Source organism: Homo sapiens, chromosome 11 (genome assembly GCF_000001405.40).
Source record: "Homo sapiens chromosome 11, GRCh38.p14 Primary Assembly".
Lineage (NCBI taxonomy): Eukaryota > Metazoa > Chordata > Mammalia > Primates > Hominidae > Homo > Homo sapiens.
This window is the reverse complement of record NC_000011.10, coordinates 25,604,119-25,627,701: the sequence shown is the minus strand read 5'-3', so window position 1 is coordinate 25,627,701 and position 23,583 is coordinate 25,604,119. Positions and strand designations below refer to the sequence as shown.

Genomic DNA, 23,583 nt, shown 5'->3' with positions numbered 1-23,583 from the left:
CTATTTCTTTACTTCCTGCTTTTAGCTAATTGGTATTTCAGTGAGCTCTCTTTAGTACCTGATTGGTAGGGTGTGAGCTGAGTTACAAGTCCCGTGTTTAAGGTGGGTGTGGTCACCTTCCACAGCTAGGCTTAGGAATTCTTAGCCTAGGAAATGCAGCTAGTCCTGTTTCTCAATATTAGTTCTCTGAACACCTCAAATTTTGGGGTAAGTGGCAGTATCTTGGTAATTTATCCACATTTACATTCTGAGTTATCCTGCCAGTGAGGTAGTACAGGTACTTTGAGAGAGCATAACTGCTGATAGACAAGAAAATAAATGAAGAAACACAGCTCACTTGAATAAAGTAAACTATTATTATCAGTCTGTTTGAGTGTGCTCTTTTGGATATAAATAGCATTTGATTATTCCATACAGCCTGGAGAGTGATTCAAACATCAGGTTGCTTTTCAACAGCCTATCTGATGCAGATTCAAATAATTTCATAGAATGCCCTTTTTTCCAAATGTTAATTTTTACAATGCTCATTTAAAACTGGATAAAATAGGTTCACACTGATACAATTTTCTCAGCTGTAATTTCCAAAAGAATTGGGTATATGAAAGTTATTCCAAAAAAAGTGGCTGTAATACTCAACAATTTTCTCTAAATACAGTTTTTAAAATACAGTTTTAAATCATTGTTTGTTTCTTTATTGACTCACATCTGTATTGCCATTTATAGCTTTGGCAATTTTTTATAGAGCATCTCCTAACTATTAAAGTTCTACTTCCAGGAAATTTCAGGTTCCTTTGTGTAGAATGAAAGCAATTAAAGACCCCCAGTCTGACATGATACTCAAGTTTATTCGCCTCAAGTTCTCTTTCTAAATGTCCAAATCACTTTGCAAGTAAAATTAAATTAACTTTTAAATAAAATTCCCTTTGAATTGTAAAGTTTTATTGTGTGTAGGGCTTAAGGAAATAACAATCAACATCACTGTAGATAGAAAACTTTTTACTGTTTTAAAAGTAAAATAAAACTTGAAATGAGCTGTTCTAACTTCAAGTCACTATTCTGCCATTTGTAAGTGTTATGGCCATTAGGGCCATGAGAATTAATTTGCCATTTTTGCATTGCAGTTTTATTATTAAACAAAAGGATATCAATATTATACATTATGCAAGAAAATAATATAATTAATGCAACACTGTTTTAGTCATATGATGTAAAATGTTCCTGGTTCCTAAGCGTTATAAAATACACAGCTTCTTTCACATATTATGACTGCATTATATGTATGTATATATAATATACACACACACTACTAATTCACCCACCATGTATTAATAATTTATGACTATCTAGTATGAACCATTCTAATTTATAAAATAATTCTTGACAAATAATATTATATGCTAAGTTAATTAATTTCTTACATGCTATCAAAAGTCTCAGATGAAATCATAAATTACTATTTGGAATGACAATAAGTGAAAAAACTCTAGTTTCATAAGAGAAGCTAGAGCAGAAGTGCCTCACACAGTTGGTATAGTTATTAGATATTTGGTATTGAAGACACAGAAATGATATGAATTTCAAGCAAAAAATATTCTAGGCTTAGAATTGAATCTGTGTCCAGCATGGAGTGGAATGTAAAGTGTTTTGGTCCCTTCATGTTAGTTGAAACAAGACACATTGAAAGTGTTATTGTACAGGCTGCAACAATTTATTTTTATTACCCAATGGGGTCACAGCTCTACAGTACTGGCAAGGAGAAGTATGGCTGGAGCATACAGGATCCACTGGCCATATTGTAGTACATTTATTTCTAAACAATAATTGTCAATGGGGTCTACAGTTCCCCCAAAGAGACAACACAACTAGGTGTAGGATTAACGATGATTTGTGACGTCCTACTAAGAAAGTTATGAAGCCAACCTGCAATAGGTAAGAGTAAAGTGAAATGAGTAGTGGAAAAAAGAAGCTGATGATCTAATTCAGCCTAATGTCCTGCTAGAGATGAAGAATCAGAGCAGCTATAATTTTGTTGTTGCCATTATTCATTTGAATGATTTTTCTGTAATTTTATATGAAAAGTATTTGTGGCATTTCATTTTATCATTTAAATTCTAGCTGTAACTGTGACTGAATTGACATCATCCCATCATAATTGTGGTTGCTGATGGGACTTCATGTTTCCTTGTTTGGAGGACAGAAGAACTGGTAGTTTCTTCTCCCAAGTAAAGGACATAAATGTATGCTGACTGGCAAAACAGGATTAGATACACTACTTTTTCTCTGTTTACACTGCATATTTATTTACCAACCTCTCTAACTTGCTCTAACTTCTATACTTTGCATTATCTGGGCTCCATCACCCTCTGGATGCAAGCAGTCAAAGGGAAAGACTGGCAGGATATCAGAAGTGGAGAGAGAGAAATATTGACACAATGATTCGCATGCTCTGTCCCTGCCGTTTCCTTCTTGATTTACTGTGGGTTTGACAGTGTCTGTGTGTCTAATGCGTGATGACTTATTTTCCATAATTTCTCTCTTTTCTACATTTACTGTGTTCTCACATCCCTTTTCCTTTAGTTCTAGATGTGGTAATGAAGTCTTGATGATTCCTGCTATTATCCACTTCACACTGCCTGTTGGTTCTCTTTCACTTGATTACAACAGTGTGTGTCTAACTTTAACCTGAGACCTTGTATGCACTTCTGTGAGCAGTCCCTTCAGGAAACCTTCAGAGAAAACTTTAAGTGTTGCCTCTGTTGTCTGCTGTGTACTTGAATACTAAACCAATCAATGGAGCTCCACCTTGACAAATATTTTCTTTCTACCAATATTATCTCCTTTAGCCTTTGTTCATTTCTGTTGAGACTCAAATTTTCTTTAGAGGAGAGTTTTAGCCTGTACTATTGCTTAAATGTCATGGAACCCAGCGACTAGTGTTCAGCTCAATTAGGATGAACCCAGGCACTTAGCCACACATCAACAATCATGAGCCTCTAGCCCAATCAGGAGCGGCAATGGGCGCCTTGCCGGATTAGAAGAGCAGGGGCTTTGAGCAAACTGCACTAATAGAGTCTTGTAAATTTCCAGGATAGTAGACAGCCTGGAAAAAAGCAACAAAACAAAACAAACAAAACCCCACATACTACAGAGATTAGGAAAAGCAGAGGGAAGTGACCCGATAGGAGGTTTCGATTTGTTACAGATTAATTATGTGAGCAAAATTTAAAATGTGGAACAACTTTATATTTTAAACTTTGTCCAATGTGTAAGGGCAAAGGAGACTAAAACCATTGATTTAGGTAAAATTAAACACAAAACCGAAGAATAAAATCGGTTCTGATTTTATTTGTCCTCTGGCAGCAACATCTAACTCCTTGCTTCACAGTGGATGCCATAGGAGTTATAGGAGCCTAGCACAGGAGCAGGATGGAGGGGAGTTACTTAAGGAAGGTATTAAAGGAATCATTACATGAATGGAAGGTTGATGTCACATACATTGCATACCAACATGAAAACACTACAAATCATGGAGATATCTATCTGCAACATCAAGAAGATGCCCCAGAACTTTGCGAGGGCCTTATAGACAGTATTACTATTCTACAGTTTATGGTTTGGAAAAATTATTCAGTTTTGTCTTCCCTTCTACTTTCTCACCTTCTGCAAACATATAGTCAATAAAAAACAGTTTTGTTGCAATCATTTATTATTCTTAAGGGATTAAATGGGCCAAGTGAATTAGAACAGGCCATTCAGAGTTGTTGAAATGTGAGATTATTTCACTTTCTTTCTGACATTATAGATCCCTTACCTCTGTATGAACTGACCTGTGACCCTCAATGGAAAAGACATCACTCAAAATAGGCAGGTAGTAATTCTAAGTGTAATGTAGTTATAAAAAATATTTTCAAAAACATGTTAAGTTAAAAAAATAGATTTGTCTGGACTCTTGATATAGTAGATTTACATGCTTTTGTGTTTTATTCAATTACATTCTGTTAATTTAAGGCCATGACCCATATGACAAATCTGTAAACTTTGCCATAGTCTGAATGTGTGTGCTATCCACAATTTAAATGTTGAAATTGTAGTCCCCAAGATGATGATATTAGGAGAAGGGGGGTCTTCGGGAGATGATTAAGTCATAAGGGCAGACCTCTGGTAATGGGATTAGTGTCCTTATAAACGAAGCTCAAGAGAGACCCATCTCTCCTTCTTCCACATGAAGACAAAGTCAAGAAGGTGCTGTCAACTAACCAGGAAGTTGACTCTCACCAGACACAGAATCTGCCAACAACTTGATCTTGGACTTCCTAGCCTCTAGACTGTCAGAGATAAATTTCTGTTGTTTATAAGCCACTCACTTTATGGTATTTTGTTATAGTAGTCCAAACATACTAAAACACTTGTTAAAGAGGAAAACATTTTGAGGAAAATCTCAAATAAACATATTTTCAAAGAAAATGTAATACAGGCAACTTCAGCAAAGCCTCAGGATACAAAATCAATATGCAAAAATCACAGGCATTCCTATACACCAATAACAGACAAACAGGAAGCCTAATCATGAGTGAACTCCCATTCACAATTGCTAGGAAGAGAATAAAATACCTAGGGATACAACTTACAAGGGATGTGAAGGACCTCTTCAAGGAGAACTACAAACCACTACTAAAGGAAATAAGAGAGGACACAAATAAATGGAAAAACATTTCATGCTCATTAATAGGAAGAATCAATATTGTGAAAATGGCCATACTGCCCAAAGTAATTTGTAGATTCAATGCTATCCCCATCAAGCTACCATTGACTTTCTTCACAAAATTAGAAAAAACAACTTTAAATTTCATATGGAACCAAAAAGGAGCATGCATAGCCAACACAATCCTAAGGAAAAAGAACAAAGCTGGAGGCATCATGCTACCTGACTTTAATACTACAAGGCTACAATAACCAAAAGAGCATGGTACTGGTACCAAAACAGATATATAGACTAATGGAACAGAACAGAGGCCTCAGAAATAACACCACACATCTACAACCATCTGATTTTTGACAAACCTGACAAAAACAAGCAATGGGAAAAGATTCCCTATTTAATAAATGGTGCTGGGAAAATTGGCTAGCCGTATGCAGAAAACTGAAACTGGACCCCTTACATACACCTTACAAAAAATTAACTCATGATGGATTAAAGACTTAAGTGTTAGACCTAAAACCATAAAAACCCTAGAAGAAAACCTAGGCAATAGCATTCTGTCAATAGGCATGGGCAAATACCTCATGACTAAAACACCAAAAGCAATGGCAACAAAAGACAAAATTGACAAATGGAATCTAATTAAACTAAAGAGCTTCTGCACAACAACAGCAACAAAAAAACTATCATCAGAGTGAACAGAATGGGAGAAAAATTGTGAAATCTATCCACCTGACAAAGAGCCAATATCCAGAATCTACAAAGAACTTAAACAAATTTACAAGAAAAAACAAACAACCCCATCAAAATGTGGGCAAAGGATATGAACAGACACTTCTCAAAAGAAGACATTTATGCAGCCAACAAACATATGAAAAAATGCTCATCATCACTGGTCATTAGAGAAACACAAATCAAAACCACAATGAGATACCATCTCATGCCAGTTAGAATGGTGATCATTAAACAGTCAGGAAACAACAGATGCAGGAGAGGATGTGGAGAAATAGGAACGCTTTTACACTGTTTGTGGGAGTGTAAATTAGTTCAATCATTGTGGAAGACAGTATGGCGATTTATCAAGGATCTAGGTCCAGAAATACCTTTTGATCCAACAATTCCATCACTGGGTATATAGGCAAAGGATTATAAATCATTCTACCATAAAGACACATGCACACGTATGTTTATTGCAGCACTATTAACAATAGCAAAGACTTGGAACCAACCCAAATGCCCATCAATGATAGACTCGATAAAGAAGATGTGGCACATATACACCACGGAATACTATGTAGCCATAAAAAAGGATGAGTTCATGTCCTTTGCAGGGACATGGCCGAAGCTGGAAACCATCATTCTCAGCAAACTAACACAAGAACAGAAAATCAAACACTGCATGTTCTCACTCATAAGTGGGAGCTGAACAATGAGAATACATGGACACAGGGAGGGGAACATCACACACCGGGGCCTGTTTGGGGGTGGGGGTTAGGGGAGGGGTATCATTAGGAGAAATACCTAATGTAGATGATGGGTTGATGGGCACAGCAAACCACCATGGCACATGTATACCTATGTAACAAACCTGCACGTTCTGCACATGTACCCCAGAACTTAAAGTATAATAATAAAAAAAAGAAAATATAAAATACCATACTTGCCTTCAGAGAAGAATTTACAGTGTAATTAAATGAGCCAATATCAAGGTGTTTTTCATAACTTAAAACATTATTTTTATATACCCTGCACTTAAAATACTTGGCAGGAATCTAACAAATAAAATGTAAACCTTTCCTATATTTATTTTACATACTATCAATATAGCTTACTACTATTTTGCTTCCTATACTCACACACTTAAGAAGGAAGTACTATCTCAAAGCAGAAGAAAAATAAAGGCTCACCAAATATGAAACAAAAGAAAATGTTGTATAAAAGAAATATGTAAATATGATATAAATTTTAATTCACCATTACACTTTCAAAAATACTTTATAGTAATGCATTTATGTTCACATTAAATGTACAGTATTTCCTAATTTTGATTAATCTTAACTAGTATTTATAATACTCTTAACTATTCATGAAGTCTGTTGAATGGTTGTATAATGGACTTGTATTGTAGTAGAATCTTTTATTGACACATGTCAAATTTTTGGTTAGATGCTTACAAAATTGCTCAATTTGAGGGCCATGGCTCAGAGTAGTAAGTTTTAATCCATGATCCTAGAGAGGAATATGAAACAAAGCAAAACAAAAATTCTCATTATAGTTCAAGCTGAGAAGAGGAGTAGGCTTTATTGCTCTATTATACTATTTTTTAGGCTTTTGGTAGGAGCATAGATTTTTATATAATAGTCAATGTTCTTTTGAATGTAAAATACTACAAAATGCCCCCCAGAATTAACATAGATTTATATTTATTCTTAATGGTAATCCCACAATTTCAAAATTGCATACAAATATTTTATGCATTATTTTAATACAGTGTAAATGTGGTTAATATTTAGAAATCATGATTATGTATTAATGACAGAAGAAAATATCTTCCTTATATTAAATGAATTTATTTGCTTATGCTAAAAATTTCCATATACAGTTTTAACAGAGTAATAAAAGCAGCTTTACCACACACACACACACACACAAAACTCTGAGTGTAGGAAAACAATCTGCTCTGAGACACCTATGAAAATACAGACTCAGGTAGCATAGAGGCATATGAAGAGATTTTTTTCTCACATAATATAAGAGTAGATCAAAAGTAAGATATATGGTATTAACAAGTAAATAAATTACAAATAAGCTTATGGTAGGGTAATCTAACATAGACTGATGGAACTAGACAAGGCCTCCGGGATAAATGATGGCTGAATAACAACTTAGGAAATGGCTATCAGTATCCCATGGAAGAAAATTTCATTGAACACAGGCACATGAGAATATGGAGAATCCTGTAAAACACATATTCAGCTAGAACACAGGCTTTCCTTTATTATTTTCCAGCACAGTACCTGGCATAAGTCAACTCTCAATGAATTGAAGTCTACTAAAGTTTGGTGACCAGCTTTTTGCCCTGTATCCATAAACCTGCCTCCACTTTTTAACCTGCATTCACACGCTAGTTACATAATTTGCTCAGTAGAGTGCCTCATATTGTGTGAAAGTATGAAACACAGAAATGAATAAAGAAGAAGAGAAAAAGACAAAAGGCATGAGAAAGGTACACAGAAATAAAAGTAAAAAGGAAAAAAAATATATATATATAAATAGAAATGTATATATATTTTTTCATACATATATGGCAAGACATATTCCTCGAAATTTATTCATACAGGAAAATTTATTCAATGTTGATTGTTCCCTGTCCTAACAGACATTGATCCACCTCCTTAAACTAAGTTGATTTAAAGGCATAAGGGGAATAAGTGGTTATTAGGATTGTTTTATCATCTGCTCTTTTATTATCAAAATGTTCTGACAACCTTTTCCATTGGTAGGAAATATATGCCCTGAAGACCCTGAGAGTGATTCTTCTTAGTTAATGAACAACCTATTCATAACTGAAGCACAAAATGAAATGTTTTGCTTATATGTAATCCAAACACCACTTGTTCAAATCCATATCTGTATTTTTACCAAGCTCATAATAACAGAACACAATTTCTTAGCAAGGATTCATAAATACTAGATATAATTGGAAAAGATCATAGCATAACTATGAATTATATGTTTAAATAAGTCTTCTTTGTTGCTGAAATGATATTTCCTTATTTCCCCACCACATCCCCACACAAACTGAGTGAGTTGGTGAGTTGGACTCTACTTTCCATACACAAAGTTCAATCAAATTATATTTCCTGGAGGACACATTATTTGGGGCATGTTGAATCATAACCTACAAAATGAAGATGATCTGTATCACTTTTCACACTTTGCCAGTAATAAGAAATGCAATACTCATTGTGTCTGTTTGAGTTTTGGAAACAATGATTCACATAAGAGTGTGCTACTCCAGTTAATTAACTTAATCATTTTAAGATTGTGAGAGAGATCTGAAAGAAATCAAAAAAAAAAAAAAAAAGATTCTTCCACAGGATTTTTAATTAAAGCCTTTCTATATTTAACAACAACTATTCTCTGGGTGAATGGAACACTGTCAAGAAAGACTAGCTAAATTATCTTCCCAGTTTAGCCCTCATTCAAAGGAGGTCTATTTTTTCAATATCTAGTCCATGTTTGGTATTTCATTTAGCCCATGTCCCTAATCCCTCTTTATAAGTAATAAAACAACAGAAAATTCTGTATGCTCTTAGTTCCTTTATTTCCCATAACTAGCTTTACATCTTGAAAATCTGTTTATGTAATTGGATCTCTTTTAAATGAACAGAAATAAAGAGAATAAATGAAATCTATAATACTGTAGTCTGGTGATTTATATTCAGTTACTGTTTAACAGTCAATAATTGACCTCAGGAAAGACAAAAGGAGAAAATTACCACTTTTGTTAACTAACCTTTTATTAATTCATTTTATCATTATTTAGCACCTACCACGTGTTTAAGGCACTGAAAAAAGTTTATCGTTATATTCTGCATGTCTTTGAAGCAAAAGGAATACTTAATCTATGTCAGGTTTCTTTATGACTATTCATTGTACACCAAAACATATATTTTTATTATGATATTGATTGATTTTATTTTAAATTATTTTATTCAGTGAAGACTGCATTTTTTTAAATTGTTTTCTGCCACTTCCACAACTCAACATTAAAGTCCTTTAACTTGGATTTTCTTCTGTTGATCCCCACCAATTTCAAGATTAGAAATTTTCATGGCTATTTTCATGTTATTTGTTTACACATTTCAACTAAATTCTGTATAATAGTATCTGCTGTAATTAAAAATAGAATTGAATCAAACATTAATATGGAGGACAGATGGATATTGACAGTTCAAAGATTAATAATGTTGACTGGTAGAGGTTGGTGTTGGTATTTCATGGATTAATAATTAATTTTGATATTTTGTCTCTCTATACTAAAAAAATGCCACCTCACCTCAAAGAAAGCAAGCTCTCAGGATCACTGAGACTATTTTTGACCAAATACTCATTTGTTGCATCTTAGTATATGTGGCTATCTAGGAGGTCGGGGACAAACGTCTGTTTCAGACAAGTTTAACATGTACATGTCATGATTAATACACAGGCTGCATGAGTCTCTGTGTTACAAAATGGCAATTTTTAAAGGAAAAAAATAAAATATCAATATTATTTACAATGAATAAAATGGCTATGGATTAAACTGATTCACTAAAATTCATTATTAATTAAGCTTTCACTTATACAACAATGGTCAAAATCAAGGCAACCTGTACACTTTTTATTATACTGTAACTTCTAGGGTACATGTGCACATGTGCAAGTTTGTTACATATGTATACATGTGCCATGTTGGTGTGCTGCACCCATTAACTTGCCATTTACATTAGGTATATCTCCTAATGCTTTCCCTCTCCCCTCCCCCCTACCCCATGACAGGCCCCAGTGTGTGATGTTCCCCTTCCTATGTCCAAGTGTTCTCACTGTTCAATTCCCACCTATGAGTGAGAACACGTGGTGTTTGGTTTTTTGTCCTTGCGATAGTTTACTGAGAATGATGATTTCCAATTTCATCCATGTCCCTAACAAAGGAATGAACTCATCATTTTTTATGGCTGCATAGTATTCCATGGCGTATACATGCCACATTTTCTTAATCCAGTCTATCATTGTTGGACATTTGGGTTGGTTCCAAGTCTTTGCTATTGTGAATAGTGCTGCAATAAACAAATCTGTGAATGTGCCTTTATAGCAGCATGATTTATAATCCTTTGGGTATATACCCAGTAATGGGATGGCTGGGTCAAATGGTATTTCTAGTTCTAGATCCTTGAGGAATTGCCACACTGTCTTCCACAATGGTTGAAGTAGTTTACAGTCCCACCAACAGTGTAAAAGTGTTCCTATTTCTCCACATCCTCTCCAGCACCTGTTGTTTCCTGACTTTTTAATGATTGCCATTCTAACTGGTGTGAGATGGTATCTCATTGTGGTTTTGATTCGCATTTCTCTGATGGCCAGTGATGATGAGCATTTTTTCAAGTGTCTGTTTGCTGCATAAATGTCTTCTTTTGAGAAGTGTCTGTTCATATCCTTTGCCCACTTGTTGATGGGGTTGTTTTTTTCTTGTAAATTTATTTGAGTTCATTGTAGATTCTGGATATTAGCCCTTTGTCAGCTGAGTAGATTGCAAAAATTTTCTCCCATTCTGTAGGTTGCCTGTTCACTCTGATGGTAGTTTCTTTTGCTGTGCAGAAGCTCTTTAGTTTAATTAGATCCCATTTGTCAATTTTGGGTTTTGTTGCCATTGCTTTTGGTGTTTTAGACATGAAGTCCTTGCCCATGCCTATGTCCTGAATGGTATTGCCTAGGTTTTCTTCTAGGGTTTTTATGGTTTTAGGTCTAACATTTAAGTCTTTAATGTTCAATGGTCAAAATCAAGCCAACCTGTACCTTTTTTTAAAAAATGAAATATAATCTAGTGGTCAAAAGCTTTGATTCTTGGGTCAAACTGTGTTTGATTATTAACTGCATTGATTCATATTAGCATTTAGATATTAGAATAATCCCTGCTTAATGGCCAAGTGCCTGAACCTCTTTGTGACACAGTTTCAGCATCAGAAAATGTGATATTAGAAACTATATCATAGAGTTGATGTGAGGATTAAGTAATTTGCTATGTGGAAACCACTTAGAACAATACCTCGCACATACTAAGTGCCACTTGAGGGTTTGTTCTATAAACTGTTTTTGTCTGAATCTGAATCTACACTTTACTAACTTAGAAGAATAATCACAGAATTCAAAAGGAGTGAGCGAGACAGGCATGTAGGTGGTTTGCATTTATATGAGGCTGAGTAGGAAAGCCTCCCTAAGGTGACAAAGGAGTCATGGCTTGAATAAACTGTGGAAATAAGTTATGTAATTCTCCACAGGAGAAGCATTACTGGCAGGAAGATCTGCAAGTGTAAAAGCAACAGACAGAAGCTCCTTGATCTTATAGGAAAAGCTTCTCATTCTCACCACTGAGTATGATATAAGATATGAGCTTTTCATATATGACTTTTATTATGTTGAGATAATTTCCTTCTATCATTAATTTGTGTTTTTTATCATGAAAAGCTGTTAAATTGTGTTAAATGCTTTTTCTCTATGTGATTTTTGTTCTTTATCCTGTTAATGTTGTGTACTATTGATGGTTGAGCAAACACATTTCTAAGCATATTGTGAATATTAATCAATTCAAACCTTCAATAACACCATGCAGTAAGTAATAACACTACCCCTTCTATACAAATGAAGGAAGTGAAGCAAAAGGACATGCCATATTATATATCTGATAAGAAGTTAATATGCAAAATATACAAAAAATTCCTATAGGTTAGTAGTAAATTAAATACATAAATAAATAAATAAAGGGTAAAGGACTTGGATAGATATTTCCCCCCAAAAGACATTAAAATAACCCACAGGTATAAAAAAAAGTCCAACTGTCATGAATCATTATGGAAATGTAAGTCAAAAAATGAAATATTGCCTCACATCTGTTAGAATGACGATTCTCTAAAAAGCCCAGAAAATAACAACTGTTGATAGGAATGTGAGCCATTGTAACCCTTGTGCAATGTTGGTAGGAATGCAAAATAATGCAGCTGTTAGGAAAAACAGTATTGAGGTTTTCTAGAATTACTGTATGATCCATCCACCTCACTTCTGGGTATTTATCCAAAGAATTGAAGTCAGAATCTCAACAAAATATCTGCAGCCTCATGTTCATTGCAGCACTGTGCAGGATAGTCAAGATATGGAAACAACTTAAATGTCCACCGATGGATAAATGAATGAAGAAAATGTGGTAGATATATACAATGGAATATTATTAGGCTCCAGAAAAAAAGAAAATTCTGCCATTTATGAAAGAAAGCATAGCTGAAACTTGAGGAAATTATGTTAAGTGAAATAAGCCAGTTTCAAAAACACTTCATGATTTCCCTTACATGAGTAACTTAAGTAGTCAACAAAGTAGAATGGTGATTACAAGATGAGGGGAAGGGGAAATGAGGAGCTGCTGGTTCAATGATTACTGAGTATCAATCATGCAAGAAGAAAAAGTTGTAGGTCTCTAGGACTTATCTGTCTTGTATAACTGAAACTTTGCACCCTTTGGTTAATATTGAGGTATAGTTAACAATATTGTATTGTATACTTAAAAATTTGCTAAGATGGGAGACCTTATGTTAACCATTCTTATCAGTAATAATAATAATAAATAGGACAGGTGGAAACTTTTACAGATGATGGAGAGCTTTATGGCATAGATTGTAGTCATGATTTCACAGGTGTATACTTATCTCCAAACTCATCAAGTTGTATACATTAAAAATGTACAGCTTTAAAAAATTGGATATTGACAAATTATGACTGTATTTATGGGGCAGAAAGTGGTGCTATAATATATGTACATACTGTGGAATTATCGAATTAAGCTAATTAATATATCCATTACCTCAAATACTTATTATTGATTCTTTCTGTTTAAATGAAATATTGACTTTTTTATATCAATCATGCTTTAGTAAATTATGTAAAACAAAAAATTCTGAAGATGTGTCAAACAACACTGTGACTATAGTTAACAATACTGTACTATACACTTAAACATTTGTTAAAAGGGTACATATCATGTTATGTGTTTTCTACCACACTTAAAAAAAAAAAAAAGAAATGTGTGGTTCAGAGTGAAACTGTCTTAGGAGCAATTGCGGTAGCGTATTTTTAAAGCGTGTACTCAGCCACTGTGGCTGAAGGGCAATGAGAGCAGTAAATGAGAGGAGATGAGGCCAGAAAAAGATCCAGAAGCAAGATCCTGCAGGGTTTTATGTCAGCCTTGGGGAGCAGTTTGAATTTTAAGTGTTGGGGAGCCTCTTGAATTGTAATAACAACGAGTTACATTATCTGATTTTTCATTTTATTTTCTTTACTTCTCCATCCCTTTGTAAATATTTAAGTTAGTTTCAACTCCAAGTTGCCAATTTATTTGGCTTCTCAGAAAGTAGTTTCTAATGGTAAAATGAGAATCACTTGTGCAGTCTAGCTTTTTCTTAAAGAATAGAAAACAGAATTTCTCCTCTGATTTTTACCTAGCTGTACTTAATCTTTCTTGTGGACACAGAAGGGCCTGAAGCAACTCCTATGTTACATTCAAGAAATCATCCAAATTTCGGTCCTTTAATGATCTAAGGAACAGCTGGCTCATTGCAAATGGTCTCTGTGTCATCTCTTTCACAATTGATATTGGCCCATTACTTCACAATTTACACTGAATTAGATGAAGATAAACTTTAAGATCCACAAAATTACCTCCTCCTGTCAGGAAAATTATCTGTAACTTAAAAATAGGCAAAGAGATTACTGGGTGTTTTTTGTTGTTGTTTTTCCAATGCAATTCCAGGCTTGCAATTTTGATATAATTTATATTGATTGGACTATTTTAAAATTCTGCAAAAATAAATATATACTTGCTAATTTTTGTCAAGTAGAGATGCAAATAATTTCTTTCTGGTACAACAGATAACCTTCAAAGTTATGGTTTTGGGCTCTGCTGGACAAAAACTACATTTGTACATAAGCCAACATCCTAAACCATTTCTTGGTTAAATTTTCTATATATAAAAGGGAAAAAATGCAAGATAGGGGACAGGACTGTCTTTCAGCTCCAACTTGGAGGGATAGAGCAGGGCATGGAGACCGACATCATGAACTTTATCTCCAAAAACTACCACAGGAACATATCAGGAAAGCCGAGAGAATCCAAAGACACTTTGAAGGTGGTGAGTTGCCACTGCAGGCACCCTGGGACAGCCAAAGAACTGTGAGTCAGCTGCTTTCTCTGCTAGGAAGCTTGTAGCCTGGAACAAGTTCTCAGCCCTGTTCACTGGCTGCCTGGCAATAAACTTGGTGCTGTTGCAGGGGCACAATGAGAGATCAGCATTTTGGGCTGCATGCTGCACTGTACCTTGGTGAGGCCTGTGGCTGCCAGCTTTCCCCTACATTCTTGGTAACCTGTGTGACACAGCCGAGACAGCCAGAATTCCCTGGGTACATAATTCCATTGGCCTGAGAACCACACCCCCAACCCCAAGAGCAGCTTCAGCAAGTCCTGCCCAGTGAGAGTCTGAGCTCAGACACACCTAACTTTACCCCCACCAGATGGTCCTTCTCTACCCACCCTGGTAGCTGAAGACAAAGGACATAATCTTTTGGGAGCTCTATGGCCATGCCACTGCCTGAAATACCTGAATACTTATCCAAAGGTAACTCTAGGGCAAACTTGTATCCTCCCTATATGATCACAGCTGATGCACTCTTGAAAGCATCACCTCCGGGTTCCAGGTCAACCAATACAAAACCAGCACACTTAAAAAAATGCAAGCAAGGACCCTCAGAGAGTCCACTTCACTCACCTGCTTCCTCCACAAGAGTAGGTTCCAGTGTCCACAGCTGAGAGATCTGAAGATGGATCACATCACAGTACTCTTTAAAGACACTCCCCAGTAAAAGCCAAGAGCCCGGTAGTTACACTGGGTGGATAGATCCTGTAAAGAGATAATAATCACTGCAGTTCAGCTCTCAGGAATTCCCATCCCTAGGGGAAACAGGAGAGTACCACATCACAGGAGCACCCTCGTGGGACAAAAGAATCTGAACAGCAGCACTTGAGTCCCAGACCCTCCCTCTGACATAGTCTACTCAAATGAGAAGGAACCTGGAAAACAGTTCTGGTAATATGACAAAACAAGGTTCTTTAACACCCTCAAAATATCACACTAGCTCACCAGCAATGGATCCAAACCAAGCCAAAATCTCTGAAACATCAGAAAAAGAATTCAGAGGGTAGATTATAAAACCACTCAAGGAGGCAAAAGAGAAATGTGAAGTCCAACTTGAAATAAAATAAAAATAATACAAGATATAAAAGGAAAAATCTCCAGTGAAATAGATAGCATAGATAAAAAACAATCACAACTTTTGGAAATGAAGGACACACTTAAAGAAATGCAAAATGCACAGGAAAGTCTCAGAAAATAAAATCTAACAAGTAGAAGAAAGAACTTCAGAGCTTGAAAACAAGGCTTTTTAATTAACCCAATGATATGGTTTGTCTGTGTTGCCACCCAAATCATCTTGAATTGTAACTCCCACAATTCCCAGTGTCATGGGAGGAACCTGGTGGAGGGTGATTTGATTATGTTGGCAGGTCTTTCCTGCACTGTTCTTGTGTTAGTCAATGAGTCTCATGAGATCTGATGATTTTAAAAAGGAAAGTTTCCCTGCACAAGCTCTCTTCTCTTGTCTGCCACCATGTGAGACATGCCTTCCATCTTCCACTATGATTGTGAGGTCTCCCCGGCCACTCGAAACTGTGAGTCCAATAAATCTCTTTCTTGTGTAAATTGCCCAGTTTGTGGTATGTCTTTATCAGCAGCATGAAAATGGACTAATACAGTAGAGTGTGGCACTGCTGAAAAGATACCCCAAAATGTGGAAGTGACTTTGGAACTGCGTAACAAGCAGAGGTTGGAACAGTTAGGAGGACTCAGAAGAAGATGACAGGAAAATGTAGAAAAGTTTAGAAGTCCCTAGAGACTTGTTGAATGGCTTTGACCAAAATGCTGATAATGATATGAACAATAAAATCCAGTCTAAGTTGGTCTCAGATCGAGATGAGGAACTTGTTGGGAACTGGTGCAAAGGTTAACTCTTTTTCTGTTTTAGCAAAGAGACTGGTGGCATTTTGCCATGGTCCTAGAGATTTGTGAAACTTTGAACTTGAGAGAGATGATTTAGGGTATCTGGCAGAAGAAATTTCTAAGCAGCAATGCATTCTAGAGGTGATTTGGGTGCTGTTAAAAGCATTTAGTTTTAAAAGAGAAACAGAGCATACAAGTTTGGAAAATTTGCAGCCTGACAATGCAATAGAAAAGAAAAATCCCACTTTCTGAGTAGAAATTCAAGCCAGCTACAGAAATCTGCATAAGTAATGAGGAGTCAAAAGTTAATTACAAAGACAATGAAGAAAATGTCTTCAGGGTATGCCAGAGGCCTTTGTGGCCGCCACTCCCATCACACACCTGGAGGTTTAGGGGGAAAAAATGGTTTTGTGGCCTGGGCCCAGGATCCCTCTGCTGTGTAGAGTGTAGAGACTTTGTTCCCTGCATCCCAGCTGCTCTAGCCATGACTAAAAAGGGCCAATGTACAGCTTGGGCTGTTTCTTCAGAGGGTGGAAGCCCCACGTTTTGGCAGCTTTCACATGGTGTTGAGCTTGCAGGTGCACAGAAGTGAAGAATTGAGGTTTGGAAACCTCTGCCTAGATTTCAGAGGATGTATGGAAATGCCTGGATGCTCAGGAAGAAGTTTGCTGCAGGAGTGGGGCCCTCATGGACAACCTCTGGTAGGGCAGTGTGGAAGAGAAATGTAAGTTTGGAGCCCCTACACAGAGTCCCTACTGGGGCACTGCCTAGTGGAGGTGTGAGAAGAGAGCCACCATCCTCTAGATCCACTGACGGCTTGCACTATGCACCTGGAAAAGCCACAGAAACTCAATACCAGCCCATGAAAGCAGCCAGGAGGAGGGCTACACCCTTTCACAGGGCCAGAGCTGCCTAAGACCATGGGAACCTACCTCATGCATGACCTGGGTGTGAGACATGGAGTCAAATGAGATCATTTTGGAGCTTTAATATTTGCCCTGTTGGTTTTTGTATCTGCATGGGGACTGTAGCCCCTTTGTTTTGGCCAATTTCTCCCATTTGGAATGGTTGTATTTACCCAATGCCTGTACCACCACTGTATCTAGGAAGTAACTAACTTGTTTTTGATTTTACAGGCTCATAGGTGGCAGGGACTTGCCTTGTCTCAGATGAGACATTGGACTGTAGACTTTGAGTTAATGCTGAAATGAGTTAAGACTTGGGGGACTATTGGGAAGGCATGAGTGGTTTTGAAATGAGAGGGCATGAGATTTGGAAGGGGCCAGGGGTGGAATGATATGGTTTGGCTATGTCCCCACCCAAATCTCATCTTGAGTTGTAACTCCCACGATTCTCATGTGTTGTGGGAGTAACCTAGTGTTAGTTGATTGAATTATTGGGGTAGTTTTTTGGCACTGTTCTTGTAATAGCGAATGAGTCTCACGAGATCTCATGGTTTTAAAAAGGGGAGTTTCCCTGCACAAACTCTCTTCTCTTGTTTGTCACCATGTGAGACATACCTTTCATCTTCTACCATGATTGTGAGGCCTCCCCAGCTACATGGAACTGTGAGTGCAATATACCTCTTTAAAAAAAAAATGCCCAGCATCAGGTATGTCTGTATCAGCAGTGTGAAAATGAACTAATACACCCAATCTGACAAAGGCAGAAAAAAAAGAATAAAGAAAAATAAACAAAGCCTCCAAGAAGTTTGGGATTATGTTAAATGACCAAACCTATGAATAACTAGTTTTTCAAGGAAGAAGAGAAATCTAAAAGTTTGGAAAACATACTTGAGGGAATAATTGATGAAAACTTCCTCAGCCTTGCTAGAGTTCTAGACATTGAAATATCAGAAGTTGTAAGAACACCTGGGAAATTGATCACGAAAAGTTGTCAGGTTATCTAAAGCCAAGACAAAGGAAAGAATCTTAAAAGCTGTAAGGCCAAAGCATCAGCTAACCTATAAAGGAAAAACTATCAGATTAATAGCAGATTTCTCAGTGGATATGCTACAAGCTAGAAGCATTTAGGGTCCTGTCTTTAGCCTCCTAAGACAAACAATTATCAGCCCAAAATTTTGTATTCACTCAAACTGAGGTGCATAATTGAAGGAAAGATACGGCCTTTTTAGGCAAACAAATGCTGAGAAAAGTAACCACTACCAAGCCAGCACTACAAAAATTGCTGAAAGGAGCTCTAAGTCTTGAAAAAAAATCCTCAAAACACCCCAAAATAGAATCTCCTTAAAGTATAAATCTCACTGGTCCTATAAAACTATAACACAATGAAAAACATAAAACAGTGTATTCAGGCAACAAATACCACAATGAATAGATTAGTACTCACATCTGAATACTTACATTGGAGATAAATGGCCTAAACGCTCCACTTAAAAGATGCAGAATGGTGCAGTGAATAAGAAGTCAGTAACCAAGTATCTGGTGTCTTCAAGAGACTCACCTGACACATAAGGACTCACATAAACTTAAGGTAAAGATGTGGAAAAAATATTCCATGCAATGGATGCCAAAAGTGAGCAGCAGTATCTATTCTATATAAGCTGAAACAAACTTTAAACTAACAGCAGTTAAAAAATACAAAGAGGGACATTATATAATGATAAAAGGACCAGTCCAACATGAAAATATCACAGTCCTCAATATATATGCACCTAACAGGGGAGCTTTCAAATTTATAAAGCAATTACTACTAGACCTAAGAAATGAGATAGACAGCAACAAAATAATAGTGGGGGACTTCAATACTCCACTGACAGCGGTGGACAGGTCATCAAAACAGAAAGTCAATAAAGAAACAATAGACTTAAACTATACCTTGGAACAAATGGATCTAACAGATATTTACAGAACATTCTACCTAACAATTGCAGAACATACATTCTTATCCATCAGCACATGAAACTTTCTCCAAGATAGACCATATGATACGCCATAAATCAAGTCTCAACAAATTTAAGAAAATCCGAATTTTATCAAGTGTCTTCTCCTACTACAGAAGAATAAAATTGGAAATCAACTCTAAAAGGAACCCTCAAAACCATGCAAATACATGGAAATTAAATAGCCTGTTCCTGAATGATCCTTGGGTCAACAATGAAATCAAGATGGAAATGAAAAATTCTTTTAAGTGAATGATAATAATGACACAACCAGCGGAATAAAAACAAACCAAACCTAAAACAGCAGAAGTAATAAAAAGTAATAGAGATTAGAGCAGAACTAAATTAAATTGAAAGAAATAAATACAAAAGATAAATTAAACGAAGAGCTGATTCTTTGAAAAGATAAATATAATAGAATATCAGTGAGATTAACCAAGAAAAGAAGAGAGTAGATCCAAATAAGCTCAATTAGAAGCAAAATAAGAGATATTACTACCGATACCACAGAAATACAGATTATTCAAGGCTACCATGAACACCTTTATATGTGCATAAACTGGAAAACCTAGAGGAGATGCATAAATTCCTGAAAACATACAACCCTCCTAGATTAAACCAGGAAAAACTAGAAACTCTGAACAGACCAATAACAAGCAGCAAGATCGAAATGGTAATTAAAATGTTACCAAGAATAAAAGTCCAGTATCAGATGGATTCACAGATGAATTCTATCAGACATTCAAAGAAGAATTGATACCAATCTTATTGACACTATTCCACAAGGGAAAGAAAGAAGAAATCCTCCCTATATCATTCTATGAAGCCAGTATCAGCCTAATACCCAAACCAGGAAAGGCCATAACAACAACAAAAACATGACAGACCAATATCCCTGACGAACATAGATGCAAACATTCTCAACAAAATATGAGGTAACAGAATCCAACAGCATATCAAAAAGATAATCTGCAATTATTAAGTGGGTTTCATAACAGGGATGTAGGGATGGTTTAACATTCACAAGTCAATAAATGGGATACACCATATAAATAGAATTTTTAAAAAATTCACATGATCATCTCAATAGACACAGAAAAAGCATTTGACAAAATCCAGCATGTCTTTATGATTAAAACGCTCAGCCAAATCGGCATACAAAGGACATACCTTAATGTAATAAGAGCTGTCTATGACAAACCCACAGCCAACATTATATTAAATGGGGAAAATTTGAAAGCAGTTCCCCTGATAAATGGAACAAGACAAGGATGCACACTTTCACCACTTCTGTGCAATCAGTACTGGAAGTCCTAGCCAAAGCAATCAGACAAGACAAATAAATAAAGGGCTTCCAAATTGGTAAAAGAGGGTCAAACTGTTGCTGTTTGCTTATGACATAATTGTATATGCAGACAACCCTAAAGACTCATCCAAAACGACCCTAGAACTTAGGAGGATGAAAGGTAAATAAATACAGCAAAGTTTAAGGATACAAAAATTAATGTACACCAATTAGTAGCTCTGCTATATACCAACAGAGACCAAGCTGAGAATCAAATCAAGAACACAACACCTTTTATAATAACTGCAAAACAAATACTTAGGAATATACTTAACCAAGGAGATGAGAGACCACAACAAGCGAAACTACAAAACACTGCTGAAAGAAATCATAGACAACACAAACAAATCAAAACATTGATGGGTAGAATCAATATTGTGAAAATGACCATACTGCCAAAAGCAATCTACAAATTAAATGCAATGCCCATCAAAATACCACCATCATTCTTCACAGAACTAGAAAAAAAATCCCAAAATGCATATGGAACCAAAAAGAACCCGCATAGCCAATACAAGACTAAGAAAAAAGAACAAATTTGGAGGCATCACATTACCCGACTTCAAACTATATTATAATATCATAGTCAGCATGGTACTGGTATAAAAATAGGCATATACATCAATGGAACAGAATAGAGAACCTAGAAATAAAGCCAAATACTTACAGTCAACTGATCTTCATCAAAGCAAACAAAAACAAAGAGTAGGGAAAGGATACACTATTCAATAATTGGTGCTGGGATAATTGGAAAGCTACATTTAGAAGAATGAAACTGGATACTCATCTGTCACCTTATGCAAAAATCAACTCAGGATGAATCAAAGACTTAAATCTAAGATCTGAAACCATAAAAATTCTAGAAGATAACATTGTGAAAACCCTTTTAGACACTGGCTTAGGCAAAGACTTCATGAACAAGTACCCAAAAGCAAATGCAACAAAAACAGGTAAATAGATGTGACTGAATTAAACTAAAAAGCTTCTGCACAACAAAAGAAATAATAAGAATTTATAACCCCTAGAGTGGGAGAAATTCTTCACAATCTGTGCATCTGACCAAGAACAAACATCTACAGTCTACAAGGAACTCAAACTAATCGGCAAGAAAAAACCAAACAATCCCTTTAAAAACTGGGCTAAGGACATGAATAGACAATTCTCAAAGGAGGATACACAAATGGCCAACAAAAGTATGAAAAAGTACTCAAAATCACTAATTATCAGGGAAATGCAAGTAAAAACCAAAATGTGATACCATCTCACTCCTGCAAGAATGGCCATTAAAAAAAATCCCAAAATAGCAGATGTTGGCGTGGATGTGGTGAAAATAGAACAGTTTTATACTGTTTGTGAGAAGATAAACTAGTACGACCACTATGGAAAACAGTATGGAGAACTAAAAGTAGATCTGCCATTTGATCCAGCATCCCCACTCATGGGTATCTACCCAGAGGATAAGAAGTCATTATAAGAAAAGGGTACTTGCACATGAATGTTTCTAGCAGCACAATTAGCAATCACAAAAATATGGAACCAGCCCAAATACCCATCAATGAATGACTGTATATGAAAATGTGATACAGACACACACACACACACACACACACACACACACACACACCCCATGGAATACTACTCAGTCATAAAAAAGAATGAAAGAATGGCATTCACAGCAACTTGGATGGAATTGAACACCACTATTCTAAGTGAAGAAATGGACAATCAAACATTGTGTGTTCTCACTCACAAGAGGGAGCTAAGGTATGACGACACAAAGGCATAAGAAAGCTACAATGGACTTTGGGGACTTGGGGAAAGGATGGGAGGGGGCTGAGGGATGAAAGAAGCCATTGGATAAAGTGTACACTGCTTGGGTGAGGGGTGCACCAAAATCTCATAAATCACCACTAAAGAATTTATTCATGTAACAAAACACCACCTGTTCCCCAAAACCTACTGAAATAAAAAATTTTAAAAAATTAAAAATTCTGTATACACTTGGCTTTCCAACTGCTCTTTGGACTGTTAGTAACATATTACTGTTCATTTTTAAATTGATAACTTGAATAAAATCTTTGATATGCATACATTTGATATTTGGATGGAATTATGATTTTGCCATTTGACGATTAGACTTTAATGGTCTGATATCTCTTTTCTCATGATTAAGGCTCAAGTTTCTTCTTCTTACCACCCCCAAGAGATGTCCCTAGATGTCTGTAATCATTACAAATACAAGTCAAATTCAAAACTTTTTGTTTTTAAGAGAAAATAAAATCAAAGTTTATTATGATTTACAAAAGCATAGAAAAAAATGAAAACAGTAAATTCCAAAAAACGTCTTTGCTACAAAGATCATATCACAGACATTCTGCATGGAGGCTGACTAAATGACTATCAGAATGATTACATTCCGATCATTCTAATAATAATCATCTAATAATTGGCCATTACTATTTTAAATATTATCATACATTCAGGTAGGAAGAGGATATAAGTTGCCCATAGGAAGACTTGGTGACACATTCTGGCATACTGTTTGCTACATAAAAGACAGGGTACAGGAATGAGGAAAAAAGCAAATTTGCTTTAATACTAGCTGAAAAAATAAAAAAAAAATACTGCCATTACTGAGGAGTGAACAGATCTTCTTTTTAAGAAGCTTGTGATTCCACTGCTTTTTACTTGGAGCAAGTTTAACAAGGTAGACTTCATACAAAGGAAAAATACCAAAAAATACTGATTATGTAGGCAGTATTTTATATATATACTATATATA

The 23,583-nt window shown here is 35.8% G+C and overlaps 1 long non-coding RNA gene across 2 annotated transcripts in view; it reads right to left on the bottom strand.

Annotated features, from left to right (window-relative positions):
• LINC02699 (long intergenic non-protein coding RNA 2699) overlaps positions 1 to 23,583 on the bottom strand; it is a 470,852-nt gene that overhangs the window by 296,750 nt on the left and 150,519 nt on the right. For both annotated transcript variants that reach the window (NR_183694.1, NR_183693.1), the window contains one exon: positions 15,268 to 15,399. This is a non-coding gene — a long non-coding RNA (long intergenic non-protein coding RNA 2699). The remainder of the gene's footprint in view (positions 1 to 15,267; positions 15,400 to 23,583) is intronic.